The following is a 23,396-nucleotide window of genomic DNA, read 5'->3' as shown; positions in this document are numbered from 1 at the left end:
ACTGCATATTTAATGTTCCACTTGACTGCCTACTGAAAGAAATAAATGCATAATAAAATGCTTTGGAAAATGCTTAATTTTTCAACTGTTGATTTAATGCATAACAGTTCAATAAGGTGGTGGATCGGCCTGGTCTACAACTATTGAAAAATAGAAAAATTACCCTCACTGGAATGTTGAATCTGTGAATATTAAGTCTGTCAATGTAATTTATGACTCTGCAGGTAATATACTGGTAATTTGCATACTAATTACTATGGTGGAAGCCAAACGACTTTCATTCACTAAATTATCCTGCCTAAGTGGAAGCCAGCAACTGCCTCTCTGCGCTGGGGAGAAGCTTGTTTAGGAGGGAGGAAATGGAGCTCTGGCCAGGAGGCCTCTCAGAGCTGAAGAGGCCCCCTGCTGGCAGGCTGCAAAGCCCACAGCTTTGCCCAGAGCCCAGTGTCGGCTTCTCAGATCCAAAGCCCAGTGGATTTTCCAAGTGATTCAAATTCAGAAAACAGAAGAGTGAGGTCAAAGGAGTTCGCTCTAGGCAAAAACAATACATGTTTGTGTGTCCAGTAACAGAAACGAATAGAAATTTGAAGGCAGAAAAATAATCCGTCCCAGCTTCCTAAAAGGAATCCTTTTAACGATAGGCATCTGTTCTTTAATTCTCTCAAAAAGAGGTTTGATTTTCTTTTTGTAAATAGGAGTGTGTTTGGAGGATTGTGGGAGAATCAAATGATGTTTTAAGTGTCCTGGGTGCAGTATGCATACGAAAAGATATTCAGCCTCCTCAATCATCAGGAAAGAAAGCAAAGCAAAACACGGAGGCATAATCTTCTAGCAAAAATTAAAAAGATTGAAAGCTTTTATTATTGTCAAGGGCATGGGGAATGAGCACAGTATAAATTGGCATATCTATGAGGTGGGTAGTGTAGTAGTAGTCATCAAAATAAAAATGCACATCTTCTTTGATGCACCAATCCCACTTCAAGAAGTGTATCCTATAGAAATACAAATGTATAGTATGACCCATTTGAAATTACTGCTATTCAACCATTTTTTGATATACACAAACAGCAATTTGAAATGATTCAACTTAACACAAGGGTGTTCATTGTAGGAATTTTGTAATGATGACAGTTTAGAAAAAGTCTAAGAGTTCAGCAGGAGGAGACTGATTAAATAAGTAGTGGTACCTACGAAGCTTTTCTTAGGTAGAGCTCACCTACACTGACATGGAAAGATGAGCATGGAAGATAAAATAAACAGACCGAGTTGTGTAACATTATACATAATCCTATTTTTGTTTTTTAAAAGTGTAGCATGTGTGTATATGTATTTTGATTTGTGTATAATATAAATGTAGAAAAAGATTGGACAGCTATATCCTAATGTTTAACCATTGCTCTTTTTTTTTAAGACAGAGTCTCGCTCTGTTGCCAGACTGGAGTGCAGTGGCACGATAGCAGCTCACTGCAACCTCCGCCTCCCGGGTTCAAGCGATTCTCCTGCCTCAGCCTCCCGAGTAGCTGGGATTATAGGGGCGTGCCACCACACCCAGGAATTTTTTTTGGTATTTTTAGTAGAGACGGGGTTTCACCCTGTTGGCCAGGATGGTCTTGATCTCTTGACCTCGTGATCCGCCCACCTCGGCTTCCCAAAGTGCTGGGATTACAGGTGTGAGCCACCGCGCCCAGCCAACCGTTGCTCTCTTTAAACAGTAGGACTTGGGATAGAGTCTAGGGAAAGACTTTTTAGCCTTTTGTGTTATTTGAATTCAACATAGCCATAGCTCTTTTTACAGGTATTAAAAAACCCATAAAACAAAAGATAATGAAAATAAAGCATAAAAGTGATAGGGATTTACTCAATTAAAAAGAATGGTGAACTAAGTTTATATGCAGTAATATAATATTTGCTGTGTTTGACATATAAAGACTTTAACATATGAAACTTTTTTAAAAAGAAGGATGGGCCTATACTTTACGTATGTAAGGATATTTTAAGAGAGGTGGTAAAAATTAGGACACAGATTATATTAAAATTCACTATACCTAATTCAAATGTAGCTCAGCGGCTCACAGAGTACGCAGTGTCAAGCCAGCTATTTACTACGATCGTGGTGAGCCTCAATTTTAGAAAATGGAACTCATGAAGGCTTGAAACGGCACATAAGGACATGAAAGTCACAAATGAACAACTAGACTGGTTCACTAACTGAAGACACTATTTTATCCTTTTTTTCTTCTTTGCTACCAGTGCCTTATTGAGGTAATTTTATACACATTAAAATTCATAAATCTTAAGTGTATACTTTGATGAAGCTGGACAAATGTATTCAAGGGTATGCTGGTAAAGTGGCCCTCTGCAGAAAGACCCAAACTTGATTTGTAGCATTTGTTGGTTTGCATGGTTTAAATACTCCCACCATAGCTGATTTTAAGCTAGCGATGGTTTAACAATCGGCTTACAAAAATTCTACCCTCAGGAGTGTAAGAGACAGACTCAGCATACTACTGATGGTGTTAAATCATGTAACTATATCCCAAATCAAGAAACAGAAGGTTTTCATCACTCCACAATATTCTGTCATGGTTTTTTCTGGTTAATTCACCCCTTATCCTGCCATAGACAAACACAATTCTGGCTTTTATCACTGTTAATTAGTTTTGAACTTCATATAAATGGTTCTACAGAGCAGATACTCTTTTGTTTGTGATTTCTTTTGCTCAGCTTAATATTTTTAAAATTCATCCATGTTGTTGCAGAAAACACCATTTTAAAGTCGTGTGTTTACCTGTAAATCAATTATCTATGTCCTTGTATTGATCCTTGGTCTATTACTGGAATAGAACCTGCACTGTAAAACAGTTTTCCTCCTTTCAAACTCCTCTTTCTTATTTACTTCTTCTAATTGCTCCATGTATTATGTTGGCCACCCTGCACATAGGCTGCACAAGAAAGCAGATTTTATGATTATTTATTTTGAAATTTCAAATGTCACATTTTATCAAAATGAGTAGAAAAAAATAATAGACTATCATGGGAAGCTGTTCCTCAGTTGATTTCTTTTTCTTGGTGTGCGTGCGTGCGTGTGTGTGTGTGTGTGTGTGTGTGTGTTGGTAATTTTTGAATATCATTCAGAAAGCCTGGCCACAGATAGTATGCAGCAGCCAGCAGCCAGACTCAAATCTGAAAACAGCCTGACTTTGGTTCAGCAGCTGTGAGTGCTTTCCATGGCAACGCTCCAGGCTCATCATAAAGACCACATTAGAAATCAGAGGCTAGGGATAAAGGCCACAATATCCAGGCAGAGGCCTTGGTGGCTGAATGCAGGAGCTTCCCAGATAAACTGAAGCCTCCGATCCCTGCGATGCCGTGCGCCATCACTAAGAATTTCTGTAACACTTTACAATTTCATGGTATTTTTAGTCATTGCCCCAAGATTTTCCAAAATAGCCATCCCAACTGCCCTAGAATTGCTGTTTTTTAAATTTTTATTTCTATTTCAATAGTTTTTGGGGTATAGGTAGTTTTTGGTTACATGCATAAATTCTTTAGTGGTGATTTCTGAGATTTTGGTGCACCCATCACTCAAGCAGTGTACACTCTACCCAATATGTAGTCCTTTATCCCTCAGCCCCCACAACCTTCTCCCTGAGTCCCCAAATTCCATTATATCATTCTTATGCCTTTGTGTCCTCGTACCTTAGCTCCCACTTTTAAGTGAGAACATATGATATTTGGTTTTACAAAGAGAGAGGGAAACAATGGGATCTTGAACAAGAGGGGATTTCAAATTTTCTGTTCCCATTGGGGATAAAATACTGATCCCTAAATTCTGATCAGCATTTATTTAAATGTGTCAGTTGGGGCTAGGTGAACATTGGGGATGGATTTCAAGGAAGAATTTCTGGGCACTCGCATTGACTGGATTTTTATTATAAGCTGAGCTAACTTTTGGGTTTAAATGAACTGCTATAGACCCAGCATACACCCCTCTCCTTTAAACCAACTAGGTCAGATTCCTGCGATCCTTGGAGCTTGTGTGCTGCCAAATGGCTGCCCCAAGGGCCCCCTGGGAGGCAGGTGTGAGTTTCTGCTGTGTCCTGGTTTCCAGGCTTGGCCTCTCGCCTCTACTCTGGTCTGGCTCCATTCAGGTGGTCTGTTATCCTCTCTCCCTGTTCTGGGAGGCAGGTAGGCTGACACTGGGCAGACTGTGGAGACAGGTAAGAGGGAGGGACAAACACACCACTGCTGCCTCTGTGTGGAGGGCCCACCTCTTGGAGGCTGCTCCCTGCCAGTGTTCCATGTGGCAGAGGTACCAGAGCAGATAACTTCCAGGGAAATGGGGCCTCTCTGCTAGCTGACTTTGGGCTCAAGGACTCCCCAAAGGCTTCGCTGAAACTGTCTTGACCTGCATGCAATCTAGGAAGCTTCCACCCAATCTTCCCTGCCTCTATCATTCACTGAGGTCAGACTTGCATCTTGGTGATGGCTCTCCCAGCCTTTCCTGGCCCCCTTCCTATTTCTTTCATTCAGGTACTTCAACTAATAAAATCTCTGCACCTTTTTTGGTTTTTTTTTTTGTTTTTTTTTTTTTTTTTTTTTTTTTTTTTTTGACATGGAGTCTCGTTCTGTCACCCAAGCTGGAGTGCAGTGGCACGATCTTGGCTCACTGCAACTTCTGCCTCCCGGGTTCAAGTAATTCTCCTGCCTCAGCCTCCTGAGTAGCTGGGATTACAGGCACCTGCCACCATGCCTGGCTAATTTTTGTATTTTTAGTAGAGACGGGGTTTCACCATGTTGGCCAGGCTGGTCTCAAACTCCTGACCTCAGGTGATCCGCCCGCCTCGGCCTTCCAAAGTGCTGGGATTACAGAAGTGAGCCATTGTGCCCAGCCAAAATCTCTGCACATTTAATTTTGCCTTGACATCTGTTTTTCAGAGTATCCGGTCTAATGCAGGCTATTCAAGCACAGCTTGCATGTCTGCTTGTGAAAGATAGCATAGGTAGGATTCAAAATCAGGCAGGTGGTGACTTGCTGATCTTAAGTTCTGCTTCAGCGCTGGCATGTATGATCTACTTTTCTAAGTTCCCCTGAAATTCCTTCCCTAGCTTTGGCCAAAGAAGGGCTCCTTCACAGCAGCAGCAGCAGCAGCAGTCTTGGCTGTTGCCACAGCCACAGGGGGACTGTGGAGGAGCGGCCCTCGGCAATGTATGGCTTGGTGTCCTTACTCAGCATGTGTTCTCTTGTCCATGCCATTTTTGTAGCACACAGGACACCTCCCTGCATTAAAGGCAACTCTGGGCTTAAAATCAACAATAAAGTGGGAATGAAGAGTGGATGGATGTGAAAATCTGGACCAATATCCTTAGTTACTCTAGAATCAACCAGAAGACAAAGGAATGCTGTCCAGACACTGCTCCTTCCGAGTATCACGGAGAGCAGTAACAGAGTCTGCCCGTCAGGCCAGATTCCAACAGTAGGCAGTAGACACAGGAGGAACCAAGAAGAAGAGAGAAGAGACTAAAGATCTTTGCCTTTCCCCAACATTTCTAGCTGCCATTTTTAGTCAACTATTGAAAATCGAATAGGAAAGTAGTTAAACAAAAATCCTAAAGCCTGTTTCCTCTCTTCCAGCTTCAAAGGGTCACTTACCATTAAGTCCTAGGAAAGTGGTCAGAAAGTTGGGATAAAGAAGGCTACTCTCTTTTCTGGTGGCTCAGCTGAACCAAAGCTGGTCACTCTGGATCCTAGGGATTCCTCAAGGGCTGGTTTGTTTCAATCTGGCAGGGAAATCTAATCCCTTGTATGGAGGGCCCAGAGCCCAGTTCTGTCCAAGGCCTTGCTAGAGACAGCCAGAAGAGAGCCACATCTGGATCCAGCTTTTGGTCTCATCCTAATCCAGATTATACTCTGGGAACTGGGCCAAGTTCTATAAGCATCTGAGAATTGGAGGAGGACTTGGGACTAGAAAGTGAAGGATGATGTTTTCTGGGGCTCACAGTCAGGCCTTAGCACAATCAGGCTTTAGTGGACCAACTGTCTCTCTCATTCTTTTTTTTTTTTTTTTTTTGAGATGGAGTTTCACTCTTGTTGCCCAGGCTGGAGTGCAATGCCCCGATCTTGGTTCACTGCAACTTCCGCCTCCCAGGTTCAAGTGATTCTCCTGCCTCAGCCTCCTGAATAGCTGGGATTACAGGCATGTGCCACCATGCCCAGCTAATTTTGTATTTTTAGTAGAGACAGGGTTTCTCCATATTGGTCAGGCTGGTCTTGAACACCTGAACTCAGGTGATCCACCCACCTTGGCCTCCCAAAGTGCTGGGATTACAGGCGTGAGCCACCGCGCCTACTCTCTCATTCTTAAAGTGTGAAGAAGAGTCCTCTGTGCTCGAGCCAGGACCTTCTCCGCCTCTCACGAAGGGTTTCTTCAGGGCTGAATCTGCACGTGTGCAACCCACTACAGGAATGTGTCTAGTGAAATTATTGGTTTTACTTGATTTTACAAAACAAATGAACGTTTTTTTCATCCAGCGATAATTTGGGGCAATGAAACAAAAATTTCCAAACTTGGGGGACACAGAAGGGATATAGCTAAGCCATAGCAGCTTGACATATGCTTGTTAAACCATCAGGATTTGAGAGCAAAATTAAACCATTCTCTGGACCCAATTCACAAGGCAGCCCTAAGTACTTAGAGACACATGGCTAACAGGAACTGGACACACTAAATTAGCTCCCAGATGCACAGTCTAAAATATAGGCATACAATTTGAATACCAATTGTCCCTTTGCCAAACCTAGCAATATTAAGCATTATTGGGAAGATGGTCTCATTGCAATTCATCCTGCTTTTGCAATCTTCGCAGCCAGCAGAGACTTGATATATCTATATCTTTCCTCCTCTCCAGGAAAAACGTCATTTGCAAAGCTAAGCCCGTTGGCAGGGGCCTCTGGGGTTGCTCTATTATGGGCTGTGGGACACAAATTAATTCTTTCATTTCTATTCTGGACACAATTGCATGCATATGAATTCCACAGGTGCATGCTTTTTTATTAAAAAAAATAACAAGGGAAGTGGAGTTAGACCTTGGAACAATTTGTTCCATAGAACTGAGTGAATCATCTCCTATAATGAGCAGCGTTGGCCAGAACTGCAGCAAACATTGAACATTCCCGTTTATCAATTATTCAGGGGCCTTCTGCCTACCAAGGACATTCATTAATATGTGAAAAGCTGATTGGCTCTTTGCTCGGTTACTCAGCGTCCATCGGAAGGATATGGACTCACTTGCCATTCTTACTGAACAATTGTGTGCATTTCCATTAAAGATAAGAGGCTTCATTAAGGAGAATTTTCCCCAGAATGTCTCTCCCCATAACTGAGGACCCAATGCCACGTGATGTGGAGTCCTTTTGTGAGGACCAGGAAGCGGACGGGGTTGTGCTGTGTAAGCCTGCATCCCAGGAGCAGTTCTTGTCCAGTCAACAAGTCTTTGACTGGAGAGAAGCACGGCTCTCAACAAACAAGTTTTTGTTGACTCTATGCCAAGTCCTTGCTACCCAAAGAGTTGTCTGTGGCATGCACGTGGATGCTTGTTAGAAATGCAGAATCTCGCCTCTATCCCAAACCTACTGAACCAAAGTCTGCATTTTAATCCAAGTTTGAGAAGTACTTTAGAAAGCAACAGGGTACTGAACGCTGGAGATATAAAGCATCCTGGCCTCTGCTTTCCCAGAGCTGCGATGAAGGTTGGGAATGTGTTAAAAGAAAACTCCTTCCACGAGGGGCATGCTATGGTAGCTGTTTGTACCACGTGTTAGGTAACAGAAGAGACAGTGGTTGCCTTCACTGGGGTGACAGGAACTCTGGAAGGTGATAGTTTTCCAGGTGAAGAAGGGACAGTAGGTTTCCCTGCTTTACTGCTATCTCCCTATGGCCTTCGGTCAGGCCTGAACTGTGATGAGAGTCTCTGCCCCTGCTCTTTGGGATTCCTCAAATATCCTCCCTTCATTGTTCCCTGAATTATCTAGATCAATACAAACCAATCCCTCCTCTGCTTAAAACTTTTAATTGCTTACAGGGGAAAGTGCAGACTCCTTAGCTGGCGCACAAGCCTTTTGCACCTGGCACACATAGAGCTTTCTAGGGCTATCTCCTGCCATTCTCTAGCCTGTCTCCTTCTGCTCTGGTTCTCCAGAACTGCCCATGAATTCCCTCACATGCCTTTCTGGTTTGGGCACCTGACCTTTTCAGCAGCTGTTCCTTCTGCCTGGACTGCTTTTCCTCCACGTTCACTTGGTGAACTTCTCTTCATCCTTCAAAGCTCTGCTCTAGCATTACATCCTCAGTGAGGCCTTTCATGAATGACTCCTAAAGAAAGTTAATCATCTCCGACTTTGGTCTATTTCGGCACTTTGCATATCTATTACTTTATAGATCAGGTTCTATTATTTGCTTAGTGGGCGGTTTATCTGCAATGGTGGTTGTAAGTCTATTTATTGAAGGCAGGAAATATGTTGATTTGAATCCTCAGAATGGCACATAGAAAGCTTTAAGTATTGCTTTTTGAATGAACTATAATTTGAAAAAAAATGGAAAGCATGAAGGTGCTGCACATGTTGAGAGATGTGCAGTTCTTTTGATCTGGTTTCAGCACAAAATGAGTGAGGGGATGCAGATAAACACTGCAAAGGTAGCTAAAGCCTAAGTTGGGAAGGGCCTTAAGTGCTCCACTAAAGAGTTTGAACTCTCAGAAATCACTAATGTTATTTACAGCAGGGGGATGATGTTACAAGATCTTTGTTTGGATAATTGGCTGGAGACAGAGGAATGAGGGATGGGCAGTGAGAAAAACAGGAACCAGGGAGGCCAGAGAAGCTGCGATCCTAAAAGCCTGCATAAAGAATGACAGAGGCCTGAAGCAGAGCTAGGAAGAAGAGGAAGGGAAAAGAGTCCATGCTTGTCTCTTAGAAAAGTGCCTTCAAAACAGCCTAAACAGTGATCTTATTGTTTGAGTGTTTATACTAAGGCCAGTGTGTTATTGGAAGCATTTGCTTTAGTAAACAGACATTTGTGAAGTTGGGTCAATACGGATGGGGATTGAGATGGGGATAGGGGGTGCGTTCTGATTAATCGAATTTTCTGGTGAACTCAGAGTATTGGAAAATTCATCCTTTTTGTTTTCACCAATATTACATTTTTTTTCCTGCAGTAACTATTTTCCTGCCTTAAGTTATACAACAGAAAGAACATGTTGCATTGGCCTTTGAGTGGGGCCATGGGCTAACAAAGGAGCAGAGTGGAAGCTGGGAGGTTGGATTTTGGTCCCAGTTCTGTCATGGCTTTGTGCAAGTCACTGAACCTTCCTGGGCCTTAGAATCCTCCTTTCAAAAGTGAGGTGTTTTCCTCAGACCATGCTAGAGGGAATGTAAAATGGTGCAGCCTCTGTGGAAACAGTCTGGTAGTTTCTCAAAAGTTAAACAGAATGATCACATAATCCAGCAATTCCACACCCAAGGGAACTAGAAAGATGTTCAAACAAAAGCTTACACATGAACGTTCATGAATTCTATTCATGGTAGCCAAAGAAGTGGAAATGACCCAATGTTCATCAACTGATGAATGAATTTTTAAAAGTGGTATATCCATACAATGGAATAGTATTCATCCATAAAAAGGGAGACATACTAACACATGTTACAACATGGGTGAACCTTGAAAACCTTGAAAATGAAGTGAAAGAAATCAGACACAAAAGGCCACATCTTACAGGATTCCATGTATATGAAATGTCTAGAACAGGCAAATCCATAGCAAAAAATAGATTATCATTTGACAGGGGCTGTGGGGGAGAGAGAAATGGGAAGTGCCTGCTAAATGGGCCCAGGGTTTCTTTTGGGAGTGATAAAACGTTCTGGAGCTGCTAGGTAGTAGTGATGGTTGACAATATTATGAATAGACTAAAAACCACTTAATTGTATTAATACACTTTAAAATGGTTAAATGGTGAATTTTATGTTATATGACTTTTATCTCCATTAAGAAAACGAGAAGTTTAAACTTAAATGTCTCAAAGATTTCTTAAAGCTCTAAGACTCGGTGATTTAATGACACCTTTCTAATACACAGTAAATGATCATTAAACGTGTGATGAATTGAATGGAAAGAAATGTTGCAATATAACTCAGACTATAGACAATACTTTCCTAATTGTAAAGGTAGCTGGATCAGATGACATCTTCAGGGTCCTGATATGGTATAACCTGTAGGAAAGAATCATCTTTAAATTAATGCATTTCACCAAATGTGTGCTGGTAAAGGCTTAACAACCAGTTCTCCAAGAAAAAAATAAAATATGCAATATATATGTATGCACATTTATTATAAATTTTTGCATCACCTCCCTGCAAAAATACTTGCACTCGAATCCTTCTCTCTGGATCTCCTGGGGAATGCAAACTGAAATATCTGTGTAATCTATTTCCTGCATTAAATCTTCTCTACTTTTGTACTTGTATAGTTTCTATTTTCCTGTTTAGACTCCAACTGCTGCCTCTCCACTGTGACACGGATCCCTGCCATAGCCCTACCTTTCTACCTTGCTAGGAAGGAGAAGGAGTCCTGCCAGGCCACTGTTCCTCACAGCAGCCTGAAATATAGGTCTGAATATATATAAACGATATAAATTAAGAACCTATAGGAGGCAGAGAATCCCCATTATCATTATGCATGGCATCATTGAACCACTCCTCAAGGTCTGGAAAGTGTTTGAATCCAGCCTGTTTGATTTCAAATTCTCTCAGATACTGTTCTATGGTGACTCATGCTTGGGCAAGTCTCAATGTTCTAGTCTTTTCCTTCTCAGGATTAAAAGGGCCCATTCTAGCTGTCTGCTACATGGTGCATCTGCAAAATAGGGAGCTGCAAAGGAGCTTTCTAGTGGGTTTGCTCAGTGCTGGATTACTTGGATGGGTGGGCTACTCAGGAGTTTATTGCACCAAACGAAAAAGCGTTGGAGGGGAACTTATGTTTGATATTTCAAAACTAGCATTAACACAGTCATGAGAAAAAAATGCCACAGAATTTTGTTGCATTTCATCACAAGTTTTATGACTTGTGCTTTGTCATAAAACAAACTTATTTTATGGCTTGGGGTTGTGCTTGTTTTACATGACATCTGTGCACAGTGTTGCATGACTATCGGATAGACACACAGCCCTATGTGACTAATGCCCCTGTGGTTGTGTGATGCAGCAGCCCTGGGAGAAGGAGGCATGAGAATAATTTTGATGCTGGTGGCTTCCATACATTTCAATATGCTCTTGGGTCTTTAATATACAGGGGAACTAGAAATCAAGAAGTTATGTGACTGCATGACATCTGGCTCTTAGGAGGTCAAAGGACGTAAATATCCAAAACAACAACAGCCAAAACCCAAGGTGTCTGTTAAGGGAAGCAGGCTTAGTGGGAAGTGCCCAGGAAAATCTCCTTGGAGGGTTTGTTCCTCAGGGAAGAGAGTAAGAGAGGAGAGAGAGCCCTTGGCTCGCATAGCTAATTGCAAGCAGGAGGAAGCGGAAAAAGAACATGATTAGCATGTTTCTCTCCTTCCCTCTATAAAGATGACAGAAGCAGGCAATCTGCTGTTTGTGCAGAAGGGGCATAGGGAAGGAGAGAAGAGAGCATCTGTTCTGAGAAACTGCTGTTTAAAAATGCAAGAAGAACACAAAGCAAAGGAGGAAATCTCCATTGTACAGGCCACTGGCTCTGAAAACCATGAGAACTGGAGAGGTACCTGCCGAGAAAGCCTCAGGTTGCCCTGACTCTGGATCTGGCACCTGGGCTCAGAAGCCCTGTTGGGGGCCTTCTTCTCTGCCCTTCAGAGCTGAGGCTTTCAGTTGTGGTCCCTGGCTGTGACCTCCAACTAAGGAACAGCCTTCCTAAGGACAGACATGCCACCCACGTCTGCAGTCAGCCATCCTCACCCTTACTGACCAGGGCTGTCAATTTTTAAAGTGAGTTAGCAAAGCTTCCTGGCCAGAGAGTGAGTCACAGTCTCTACCCTCACACCTCCTCCTCTGTTCTCTGTCCAAGAATTGATGCTAATTATTTTTGTGGAAAATAAGGAGAGCCAATGTCTCCAATGGATGATGTAACTGGGAATCCCAAAGTTTGAAGGCCTCCATGCTTCTGGAAGAATCAGGGAATGCCTTCGAAGGAGCCAGCAGAATGACCTCTCAGCCAAGCCAAATATCTGATGTCCTGAGGGTTGGTCTTGGCCTCTAGAGCCTCCCTCTCTTGTGGGAAGTATCAGGAGCAAGGTCCCCTATCACATACCTCTAGCTGCCTTTGATAGGCAAATCCACCTACTCAAAGGCCATTCATCAGAAGGGATGTAGTGTGACCCCAGATTCTGTAGGTACTTTTCTATTTATATTCTACCTCAGTTTATTTGTAGACTGAACTGGATCGTAAACATGTGTGGGTGGCAGCCATCCTTGCATTCCTGGTGTTGATGAGCTCGATGCTATTCTAATAGTAGGTACTTAATAGTTATTTAAGTTTGTGAATAATTGGCCCTCAGATCTTGCACCTCTATCAGTTAAAATGAGAGAAGAGAGAAAGAGACCCCCCCATATTGTTCTATATTGTTTTATACTCAGTACCTGTTTTAAGAAGAAACAAGGAAGTGAAACCAAAAGCAGGCAGCCCGGCACCAGGCACCAGACCCAAAACCAGACCCAAAACCAGGCCTTGGCCTGCCTGACTTTACCTGATAGTTAAAATTCAACCCGTGACCTAGCAACCAATCTTATCCATAGATTCCAGACATTGTATGGAAGGACATTGTGAAACTTCCTGTTCTGTTCTGTTTCACTCTGACTACCAGTACATGAAGCCTCTGTCACATACCCCCTAGATTGCTCAATCAATCACAGCCCTTTCATGTAAAATCTTTAGTGTTGTGAAGGGACAGAAATTGTGCACTCGAGAAGCTTGGATTTTGAGACGTTAGTCTGCTGATGCTTCCAGCTGATTAAAGCCACTTCCTTCACTACCTCAGTGTCTGTGGGGTTTTGTCCACAGCTCATCCTGCTACAAAAATAAACCAGCCTTGCAAATAAGAACAGAAATCTGAACAATCTTCTTTCCTGATGATATGGTTTGGCTGTGTTCCCACCCAAATCTCATCTTGAATTGTAATCCCCATAATCCTCACGTGTCATGGGAGGGACCCCATGGGAGGTAACTGAATCATGGGGGTGGTTTCCCCCATGCTGTTCTCATGAAAGTGAGTGAGTTCTCATGAGATCTGATGGTTTTATAAGCATATGGCATTTCCCCTACTGGCACTCATTCTCTCTCCTGCTACCTTGTGAAGAGGTGCCTTCCACCATGATTGTAAGTTTCCTGAGGCTTCCCCAGTCATGTGGAACTGTGAGTCAATTAAACCTGTTTTCTTTATAAATTACCCAGTCTCAGGTATTTCTTCATAGCAGCATGAGAACAGACTAATACACCTGAGTCCCAGGGGTCTTTATCCCGCTACTTACTGGAAGAAAGGATCACTTTCAAATCTATTTTCTCATAGTAAAGTGGGAGTAATAACAGAACCTTCCACAGGATTTAATGAGGGCAGGCATATAAAACAGCACAATATCTAATGCTAGCTGTTTTATCATCACTGTCATCATCATTTTTCAGATTGTTATTTCTAAGATGAAGCATATTTTCTCCAGGGATTCTGTGAGCAGGGTGGGCACCCTCTGACTCTCCCCTTTGAAAGAGAATCATAGAAACATGGATGACAGATAAGAAACCTAGCAACAGTCACGCTGATATTCTATCAGCTCCCTGGCAGCCATTTCTCCATGACTAAGCACTTGCATTCCTTAGCCTGTCTGCAAATCCAGTGATATCCACAGACACATATCTTTCCTTCTCCTGTTACTGAGGCCAAGCATTGCCATTTCCTTGAGATAAGTACTGCCTGTAGCCCTGCCGTGGGTGTGAAGGGATACTTTCATCTGGTTTCGGCTTGCTTTTAGGTCAAGACAATTTATCCTCAGGCTTCAGGCTCTGAGGAAATTATTGGCAGTTGTAAAGAAAAGATGTATTGGTATACCTGTGCTCTGTGACAGCCCCCACAATAAGCCCTGTGCTCCTTCTCACCCACAAAGTCCAAGGAGGCACGTGGTTAGCTAGGATGATTGACGGGTTTATGACCTGCCTTGCAAGAAAGCCTGTCACTGAATCACATTTTAATATTGTATCCTAGTCTTTTAAAATCAGGGGTTAATATAATAACAGACATTTAAAGAATGTTTATGTGTCTTCAATACAACCATCACAGAACACATTATTATTATTTGCTGGTGCTGATACTCTCAGTCCTAGTGCTAGTAACGATATTTTAAATTTGTAATGTGTTCATTACGTTACAAGTCACATTACAGATGGTGAAATGAGATGAGAAAGGTGAAGTGATGGTGTAGGTGGGGCTCAGGCCCAGTGCCATGGGTATCTGTGCTCCAGAACCTGCCCTCCCTTTGTACCACATTGGCTAATGTGCTGCGCTGGTATAGTGAATCACACAATAAAGTCCTCTAAGAATAAAGACCAGAAAAAAACACTTTCATTGCCTGCTTTCTTGTATCAGATAATGTTTTACTTTGGCTTCAGAGTGTCAGTGAGTTCAGAAGCAAATGCCAAGGTCAACAAACCATATCAGCCTAGGCTTCTGGAATTCAAATGTCCCCATCCATTTCTATTTCACTTGATTTTTAAATTTCCATTTTAATGGTTTTATTGTTTGTGCTTTTTATTTTACCACTTCAGTCATTTGGGAAGTAAAAAGGGAATACACATGCTAAGAAAGACAAATCCATCCGTCAGTTATTTCAGTTTGACTCAGTAGGAAAAAGGATCATAGAACTTTCCTTTTGTGCCAGATGTTTTGTTGCTCTGCTTTCTTGGGAAATGTCTATTCAGGGTAAGGTTGCCAGATAAAATATAGGGCACCCAGATAAATTTAAATTTTAGACAAATAATGAGTAGTTTTTCTATAAATATGTCCCAAATATTGCATGTTAATTTTTATACTAAAAATTATTTATTGCTTATCTGAAATTAAATATAACTGGAGGTCCTGTATTGGATCTACTAAATCTGGCAATCCTTATTCAGAGCCACAAAGATCCTAGACGTGTAACTTGTTTTTGCACCTAGGCACAGAATCTGGCTAAGGATCAAGGTGCAAAATTGAAACAAGTTTATAATAACAGTTAAAACCATGAAGATGAGCTGGGCCTGTTTAAAGACAAATTTTGAACATCTGGCCTTTGGAAACCATTAGGTTCACTGGCTGGAAGTTCATTGCCTAAGGCCAGAGGTGGTACACTCTACCAGGATAGGATCTGATTTTTAGCTTGAGATCCTTGAAGACCACCTGTACCTGCCTGTGGTTTCCCAGAGGCTGGCAAGCAGAACTTGACTGTGCCTGCCTCTCCAGAACGAATGTTTTGCCCAGTTTTCCCAACCTTTTTTTAAATTGCATTTTTAACTCCCATTTTCCCATATGTCACATTAGCTTTGATGATTTCACTGATTCCTTGAATCCTGCTTCCTCACTCCCACCTCCATGTAAAGGAGGCAAAATTCTTTCTCTGTCCCAATCAAAAATATCTGCCAATTACTTGTGGGATCCTGAGGGTATTGTATTGGAACACCCAGTGTCTTCTCATGGTCTCCTTCCCAGTCCCCTCATCGTTGTCTGTGCTCTCAGTTAAATGAGGGGGCCTGGCTGCTGGAACACGTCCAGTGAGCCACCAAGTGGGTGTGGCTGCTGGCCTCCTCTCCCATGGACCCCCAAGCCTGCAGATCCCTACATCTCCTCCAACCTCAGTACCTTGCTGTGCTACAGGTGGAAAGGCAGAGCACCATCCCTCATGAACCCTGTCACTCTGCTCACACATGGGCCCCAAATCAAGTGGGGCTGCTTGGGGCCCCCACGAGTCACAGAGTGCTTGAGGACCAGTGCTCCTTCTACCTTTCCTGAAGTCCTCCCTACAGGGCTGAAATGACCGATCCCTGGGGCCTAGCCCGGGGTGCATACTTCACGTCTGCTTTCATTTCACCTGACAGCAGAGGGCAAAACCTTCTCCTAATAACAATAAAAGCCCTCATGCAAATTAGCTTATGATGGAAGCTCTGGTCTAGAAGCATTTCCAGTGGTTTGCTAAACATGCTTCATCTTAAAATTCAGTGGGGGAACAGACCCTACAACTCACACTGTGTTCTCATGACACAAACCATGTCTGACAAGGGGACGGTAGGTAGGTGGCCTCAAAGAAGCTTGTGCCTGTGATCCTACTCTGTTTAAATCTGTGTTCCAAGGGATTTAGACTGCCTGTCAGATGCTCATACCCCTTTCCCCTGATGCTGCTCTTTTGCAAGCATGAACTGCAGATTTTTAAAATTTACCCCAACCAGGCTAGTAGCCAATAACCCAAGATGCTGCAGAAGGGATCCAGGGGCAAAGAGTCCTGCTGAGTTCAGAGTATGTGCTCCCCATTGAAGACAAGGAATGGGTGGCTAAATAAAATCTTTACAGGGCACCTGAACGTGCTTTCTCTTTTTCTCCTGTATTTTTTGCTCCCTTCTATACAAGTGATGGATGATGTTGCCTGCAGAACACTGAGAACCTTCATCCCCATGTGCCGATGCATCACTTCTCAGCACTGGTACTCTGACCTGACTGTGCTCTGCAGGCGCCCCTGGGTGTCTTTGTTCCGTGCTAGAAGCTGACCGAAAGGCACCGGAAGGGACGGCCATGTGATGTGTTTCTCCCTTCTAAGGAGGGTGCCTCTCATTTTCTCAGTGTAGTTTGTTTGAATGAATCCAAGGTTTCGTATGTCCCAGCCACTAGGCTGGAAGTCCCTGAGGGCAGGCTCCCCCAAAAGTTGACCTTGAAACAAGGATTTGGGTGCAAGTAGTTTGTTTAGAAAATGATCTCAAGAATTACAGTGAGGGAGTGAGGAAATGAGGAAGGGAATGGAGGAGAGTCAATAAAGGGAGCGTTAATGATATTCCTGATGTGAATTCTAGAACTGGGGCTTAGCTTTCCTGGGGAGTCTTGGATAGTCTGGAGCACACTTCACATCGTCCCACTTAAGGGCAGGGAAGCCGGGGCATTTACCCAACAGCTCCTGCCCCTGTGGGCTGAGGGACACTCCTGTCCATGGGCTAAGCATGCCATGGCCAGAAAACACCCTCAGGCAGAGAGAGGCTGGATGCCTGTGGCCTGCAAAAACCTGTATGCTGGGGACCTTCAGGATAGGGGGATATAAGTGGGGCACGAACAGCCTCTGTGGCAGGAACTATGCCTTCTTTCTCTCTGCATCCTTAACACCTAGACAGCACCTGGCATTTCTGATACTCAGTAAACATTCGTTGAATAAGCACATGAATGAATGAGGAGCACAAGTACAGAAATATAATGTAATGGTTCAGCAAATGCTACTCAATAGGAAAAAATTATCTAGGACCTTTGCAAAAACCAACTCAAGTGCCAATGACAGCAGTTAGTAGAGGGCATGCCAAAACAATGGGTCTGTTTTCAGTTTGAAGTTCTTGACCAGAGTGGACTGGGAAGAACCAGCAAGTTCGTCAGATGTAAAGCCAAAAAAGAGCGTCTCCCCATAAAGCACCTCAGAAACGATAACGTGTGATGCCAATTAAAGATACCACCTCATTTCCTGGCTTTATCTGGGCATAGAAGACTCAGAACCCCACTGGACAGCCTATCTCACTGTTATGTAGCTTTGGTATTTAGGCAAGCCTTTTTAAATTATTTATTTATTTATTTATTTATTTTGAAATGGAGTCTTGCTCTGTCACCCAGGCTGGAGTACAGTGGCACAATCTCAGCTCACCACAACTTCCGCCTCCTGGGTTCAAGCAATTCTCTGTCTCAGCCTCCCGAGTAGCTGGGATTATAGGTGCCTGCCATCATGCCTGGCTAATTTTTGTATTTTTAGTAGAGACAGGGTTTCACCATCTTGGGCAAGTTGGTCTTGAACTCCTGACTTCATAAGGCCCACCTTGGCCTCCCAAAGTGCTGGGATTACAGGCGTGAGCCTGTGGTGGCTCACGCCTGGCCTAGACAAGCCTTTTTATAATGTACCATAATCTGCCTCCTAATGGCTCACTGCTTTCCAATGCTTCAAATTCCTGCCTCAACATTACTAGCTGTGTCACTGTGGTTCAGAGGCTTATTTTTTTTGGTGCCTTGTTTTCCTCACCTGTAAAATGCCTATGGTAAGCATTGTGCTTAAGAGCTGGACTCTGACTTCCAGCTGCCTTGGTTCCACTTCAGGTTCCACTGTGTACTAGCTTGATTTAGAATGGGCTTCCATAACCTCTCTGTGCCTTTGTTTCCTTATCTTCAAAACAACACTATAGCACTAACACATGGGGTAGCTGTAAGCACTTAGTAAGTGATACATGTGTTAGTTGTTATTTTACCTCTTAAGGGTGTTTCAGGTATTAGATGAGAGAATACACATAAAGCTTCTGTAGAACACAGTGTCCGATGTAGGTTAAATAAATGTCAGTTATTATTTTTAAACTGCAGCAATATTAAGATACTTTGCCATTTATTTGTGGCCCCTACTATCTTTCGCTTCCAGACTAATCACCTGTTCTTCATAGCACTCATAGTCAAGTGTTCATCCGTATGCATGATGTGACCTGTGCAAATCCCCTGGGACCGTCACCCTGCCTGCCCTCTGTACTTTGACTGTGGAGATGAAAATTGCTATGCTCCAGTAAAGTATTTTCTTTTAATCTTCTTCACAATCACTCAAATATCAATTATCATCAGCAAATGGCACCATATTTGAGCATTTACCAAAAGGCTGGGTCAATGCAGCCTACAGCTGCACCTTACAACATCTGCTGTCTACAGAGACCTAGCTTTGTATTTTGGCCAAATAGCCTCATTTTCTCTCCAACAAGTCCTGCCCCACTAGCCCAATTTCAAACCAAACAACAGAATCTATGTTTGGAATTCATAGAGAGATTACATGCGAGAGCAGTAATCTCCTCGTCCACTGAAGCTGAAGTTTCATGATTCAGCTTCAAGTGTCCCCCATGGCCACATCTTGGGCACTGTCATGCATCTGACATTAGTTTTTTCTAAGACCTGACCATCAATTGCCCACTTTGAGAATTCCCTTTTTTCAGCTTTTTCATCTCTTTGAGACCTTATACCTTTCGTTCTGTTGACTGCAGTCACCAGTCTTGTGCTCTTGCCTCCACAAGCCCTCAGGGAATCACCCGGTTTCCCTCCTGCCCCTCTATAGCTCTTTCTCTAGTTCTGTCATGGGACTGCCTTAAATCCTAACATCCTTCTCTATACTGTCCTTCGGTGTTCTCACTGACACCCACACCTTCCACTAGCATCCACGCTCTGACAACCTCCAAGTCTAAATCCCTAGCTCAAACTTCCCTCCTCTCTTTGAGACTGGCCCATACACTGCTAACCTCTAACTAAACATTTTTATCTAGATTTCCTGCTAGTCCCAAAATTGACAACGTCCAATATGAAACTCTTTATTTCTTCCCATCTCCAACCTCTTCATCATGCTGTGTTTTCTGTTTTGGATAATGATGCAACTGTCCAAACCTGAAACCTGGGAATTATTGCAGATTCCCTTTTCCCCCACTCCAATGGGATCCCATTGATGGTATTTATTATGTATTTCTTGCATCTGTGTCATCTTCTGCATGTCCCCTGTCAATGCCATTATTTAGACATTTTCCCACTCAGACCATTCCAACAGCTTCCAAAAGATCTCTCTGCTAGCATCATCTCTCCACTTCTTTCCCCCTTCTACCTTTGTCCTCTACTAGACCATTGAAGCCACTTCCTAGCTTGCAGGCATTATCATCATTGACATGGTATTTATAGCTCTTCATCAACCAGACCCTCCTTACCTCTCCAGGTATTTGTCAATACCTAAGGATTAGTATTTTATTTCTCAAAATCAACCAGTTAAAAATATTTTTTAAACACCTTCCACATGCTTAGGATTGTGTTAGGTCTTGCGGAGGACATAAAGAAGTTTAGTAGATGTAATCTTCAACTTCTAAAGACTTTCAAAATTAACATGAAAAAATATTGCATAATTAAGTGCTTCATTGTGTGGCATAGTCTATAGAAGCAATATGAAGTGTACCTTTAGGCTGCTTTTCCAAGGTTTATAAAAGTTCACAAACATGTACAGTCAAGCATCGCTTAATGACGGGGATATATTCTGAGAAATGCATCGTTAGGTGGCTTTGTTATTGTGTGGACATCATAGAGTGTACTCGCCCAAACCTAGATGGTATAGCCTACTACACAGCTAGGCCATATGGTATAGCCTTTAGCTCCTGGGCTACGCCTGTACAGCATGTTACTGTACTGAATACTGTAGGCAATTGCAACAATATGGTAAGTACTTGTGTATCTAAACAGAAAAGGTACAATAAAAGTACGGTATTATAATCTTACGGGCCCACCAGCATACGTGCAGTCCATTGTTGACTGAAACGTTGTTATGCAGTGCATTACTGTATATGCACATAAATTATGTATGTGAAAGTCCCTGATAAAAAGTTTATAATACAATTTGCCTTGGTAACTCTAGTTATTTTTATTATGAAGACAGAAGGAAGTCACCTCTATCAGATAACATACCTTCATTAGTTAACTTCACAAGAGTGCTTATTTTATTGAATATTCATTCTGTTCTCTTTTCAGTAGGAAGAAAAATAGTTTCTGTAATTGAAATACAAAAATGGGCCATTGCTTTCACTCCTTAGAGGGACAAAAATCAGACAGAGTCAACAGCAGGTCAAACGGGCAAGGGAAGGAAGAAAAATAACACATAGCTTTAGCATAACCACCTAAATAAATGTGTTGCCTGGCTTCAAAATAAAGAAATCTAGCTTAAAGCAGATGATCTCTCAAACAGATGGGACCTCCACAACCAAGAGCTAGCTACAGGTCTAGCTCTTCCACTATGAAACCCAGGCAGGCTGGCCTGTTGTGATGCTCTCTTGTGAACCCCCAGTGCAGAACTCCACAGGGAGGCTACAGCACAAGTACCCCTGTTTTCCTCCCAGAAAAACAGATGGACTTGGCTTTGCAAAAAGGGAATCAATTTAGAGAAAGCCTGGAGTCTGTGACTTTCCTCATGCAAATTGCTCTAAGGTAAGGTATCAGAAGTCCAGGGGAATCATATAATCTTTCCTAGTTCTTGCTCATTAACTTGTATGGGCTTGAAACAAAGCGCTAATAGGTTTAAATCATGCTAGAGGGTTTTCCAGGATGGGCAGAGTTTTGGACTAGGAGCCAAGAGGAATAAGCTCTCTTCCTAGCTCTGCTGTTAACCAGTTGTGTGTGCAACAAGAAACAACAAAATGATCAACAAAAGCCCCTTAATTTCTGGAGTCTCAGTCTCCTTATTTCTCATAAAGCCTTGTTGGTGATAAAAACATTCAGTGTAAAAAATATTTCAGGAAGTTGAGTGTTCTAAGAAACAGAGGCAATCTGAGACTCTCATGGCAAAGCTTTCAAGCACCCTGACCATTTTTATCCCAGGGCCACAACCCCTTCGTGACTTGCCTCTGTGCCTAGTTTACCATCATGGTGAGCAGAACCACCTGCTCACTTGTTCCAGGGCCAAAATTAGATTTGAAAGGACCTATCGTATTAACAGAATGTTTGGAAGTTTTGAAAACACTTTCACATTTCCCATTTCATTGAATACTTAAAACACCTTTGAAATAGGCAGAGCTAGTCCTCTTCTTGTTCCTAATTTGGGGGCGAGGGAATTGAGGCTGAGAGTCCAGAAACAGTGTACCTCTCTCGACTCCTCCCAACTCCTTCCAACTCCCCAGCCTCTCTCTCTTCTTCCTTGGGCTCCTATGTCTGTTTTTCAGATCCTACTAGATCCTCTGTGCTTTTGGATTAGAACCTAGAAGCTTGGATTTGTCTTCCCACCCACCTGTAAAGACAAATTTTGTCTCCTGCTCCTTTTAATCCCAGGGAGAGAAATGAAAAATCCCACCTTCTCCGCAAGCACATACTGACTGCCTCCCCTGTGAGGGTTTTCTGCCTGTTCTCCTCCTTCCTCCACTTTTACTCTCCATCATTATCAAAAGCATTTATTTATTCCACAAATGTTCCCCAAGTTTCTAGTTTTTTGCAGGGCACTATTTAGATATTTGGAAGTGAAGGTAGCAGGCACACACGTGAGGTGCTCCAGTCGGTGGGGCAGCTAGCTGCATTGTCAAGTGGTATGCCTGTTTTATGATTGCTCTGTGTTCCTCTTCATTTGTATTTTCAGTCTTGGATTGTAAAATACACAGAAGGGGTCCCTGCATTTTGAACTCACCCCTAAGTGGTATATGGAGAGAGATAGCTCAAAGGGGTGTTTTGTTTTGTTTTGTTTTGTTTGTTTTTGCTAAGCTGATTTCCATTGATATCAAAAGTCAGGACTGGTAGAAACAGAAAAACAAAACAGTTTCATCTTAAGAGAAATACCTGAAGAAATGGTGGCAAAACCAGTATCATTTTAATTAATTAATTAATCACAATAATTCTTAATTCTTAATAATTATTCTTAAGTCTATTTACAAGACTACAGAGATTCTTCTACACTCGGTGTTGGATTAATGGAAATTTTCTACTAAGAACCAGCTCCATTTACTAATGCTCATTTGTGCATCTGGTACATGAAGCCTGCACTGAAGTAGAAGTTCAAGACCTTTCTAATTCATTAGTCAGTGACTTATTGATTCTGAAAGCTACAGACCCTGCGCCTTGTCATCATTTTCATAAAGCAATCCTCAGGGTAGTGTTCACTGTAAAATATTGAGCTTATTAAGAGTTTTTGGGCCTCGGATTAACTTTCACAGCAAAAGCTATGTTAAGTAAATTAGGTACCAAATAAATCTAAAATGATTGTAGAAAGTCATCAGCTAAATTAAGACGCTGACAGCTCACATAACAAGATGCAAAGCAATAGTAATTAAGAAAAATAATCACCTCTGCTGCTGAGAGGATACGTTTGGCCCCAGGTGAAGTAGCTCCCAAGGCATCTGCTTTCTAAAAGGAAAGTCTTGCTGTTTTGTTCTGCTGTGAAGGGGTGAGGGGCAAGAGATCCTTTTCTGTATTGCAGCATTCACCACATACTCTAAAGGAGAGCATTATCTTTGGGAAATAATCTTATGTGGGGCAGAAAAACAGATTTGCAGAATTACCCAAGATCTCTTATAGCCCTAGTGTGGCAAACATTGTGAACTGGCCCCACTGGCACACACAACTCCTTTCTCCCTGCTTTCCTC

General features: G+C 42.5%; 1 long non-coding RNA gene across 10 annotated transcripts in view, besides 1 other annotated feature; it reads left to right on the top strand.

Annotated features, from left to right (window-relative positions):
* TNPO1-DT (TNPO1 divergent transcript) overlaps positions 1 to 23,396 on the top strand; it is a 245,434-nt gene that overhangs the window by 204,832 nt on the left and 17,206 nt on the right. The window lies entirely within an intron of this gene.
* Positions 13,289 to 13,388: an enhancer, noted in NCBI's record as "active region_22652". NCBI's record gives its function as "activates an Ori minimal core promoter by ATAC-STARR-seq in GM12878 lymphoblastoid cells {active_cell/tissue: GM12878}" and the evidence as "EXISTENCE:reporter gene assay evidence [ECO:0000049][PMID:35858748]".

This window comes from Homo sapiens, chromosome 5 (genome assembly GCF_000001405.40).
Source record: "Homo sapiens chromosome 5, GRCh38.p14 Primary Assembly".
Taxonomy (NCBI): domain Eukaryota; kingdom Metazoa; phylum Chordata; class Mammalia; order Primates; family Hominidae; genus Homo; species Homo sapiens.
The sequence above is the reverse complement of the archived record's forward strand: the minus strand, read 5'-3'. Positions and strand labels throughout refer to the sequence as shown.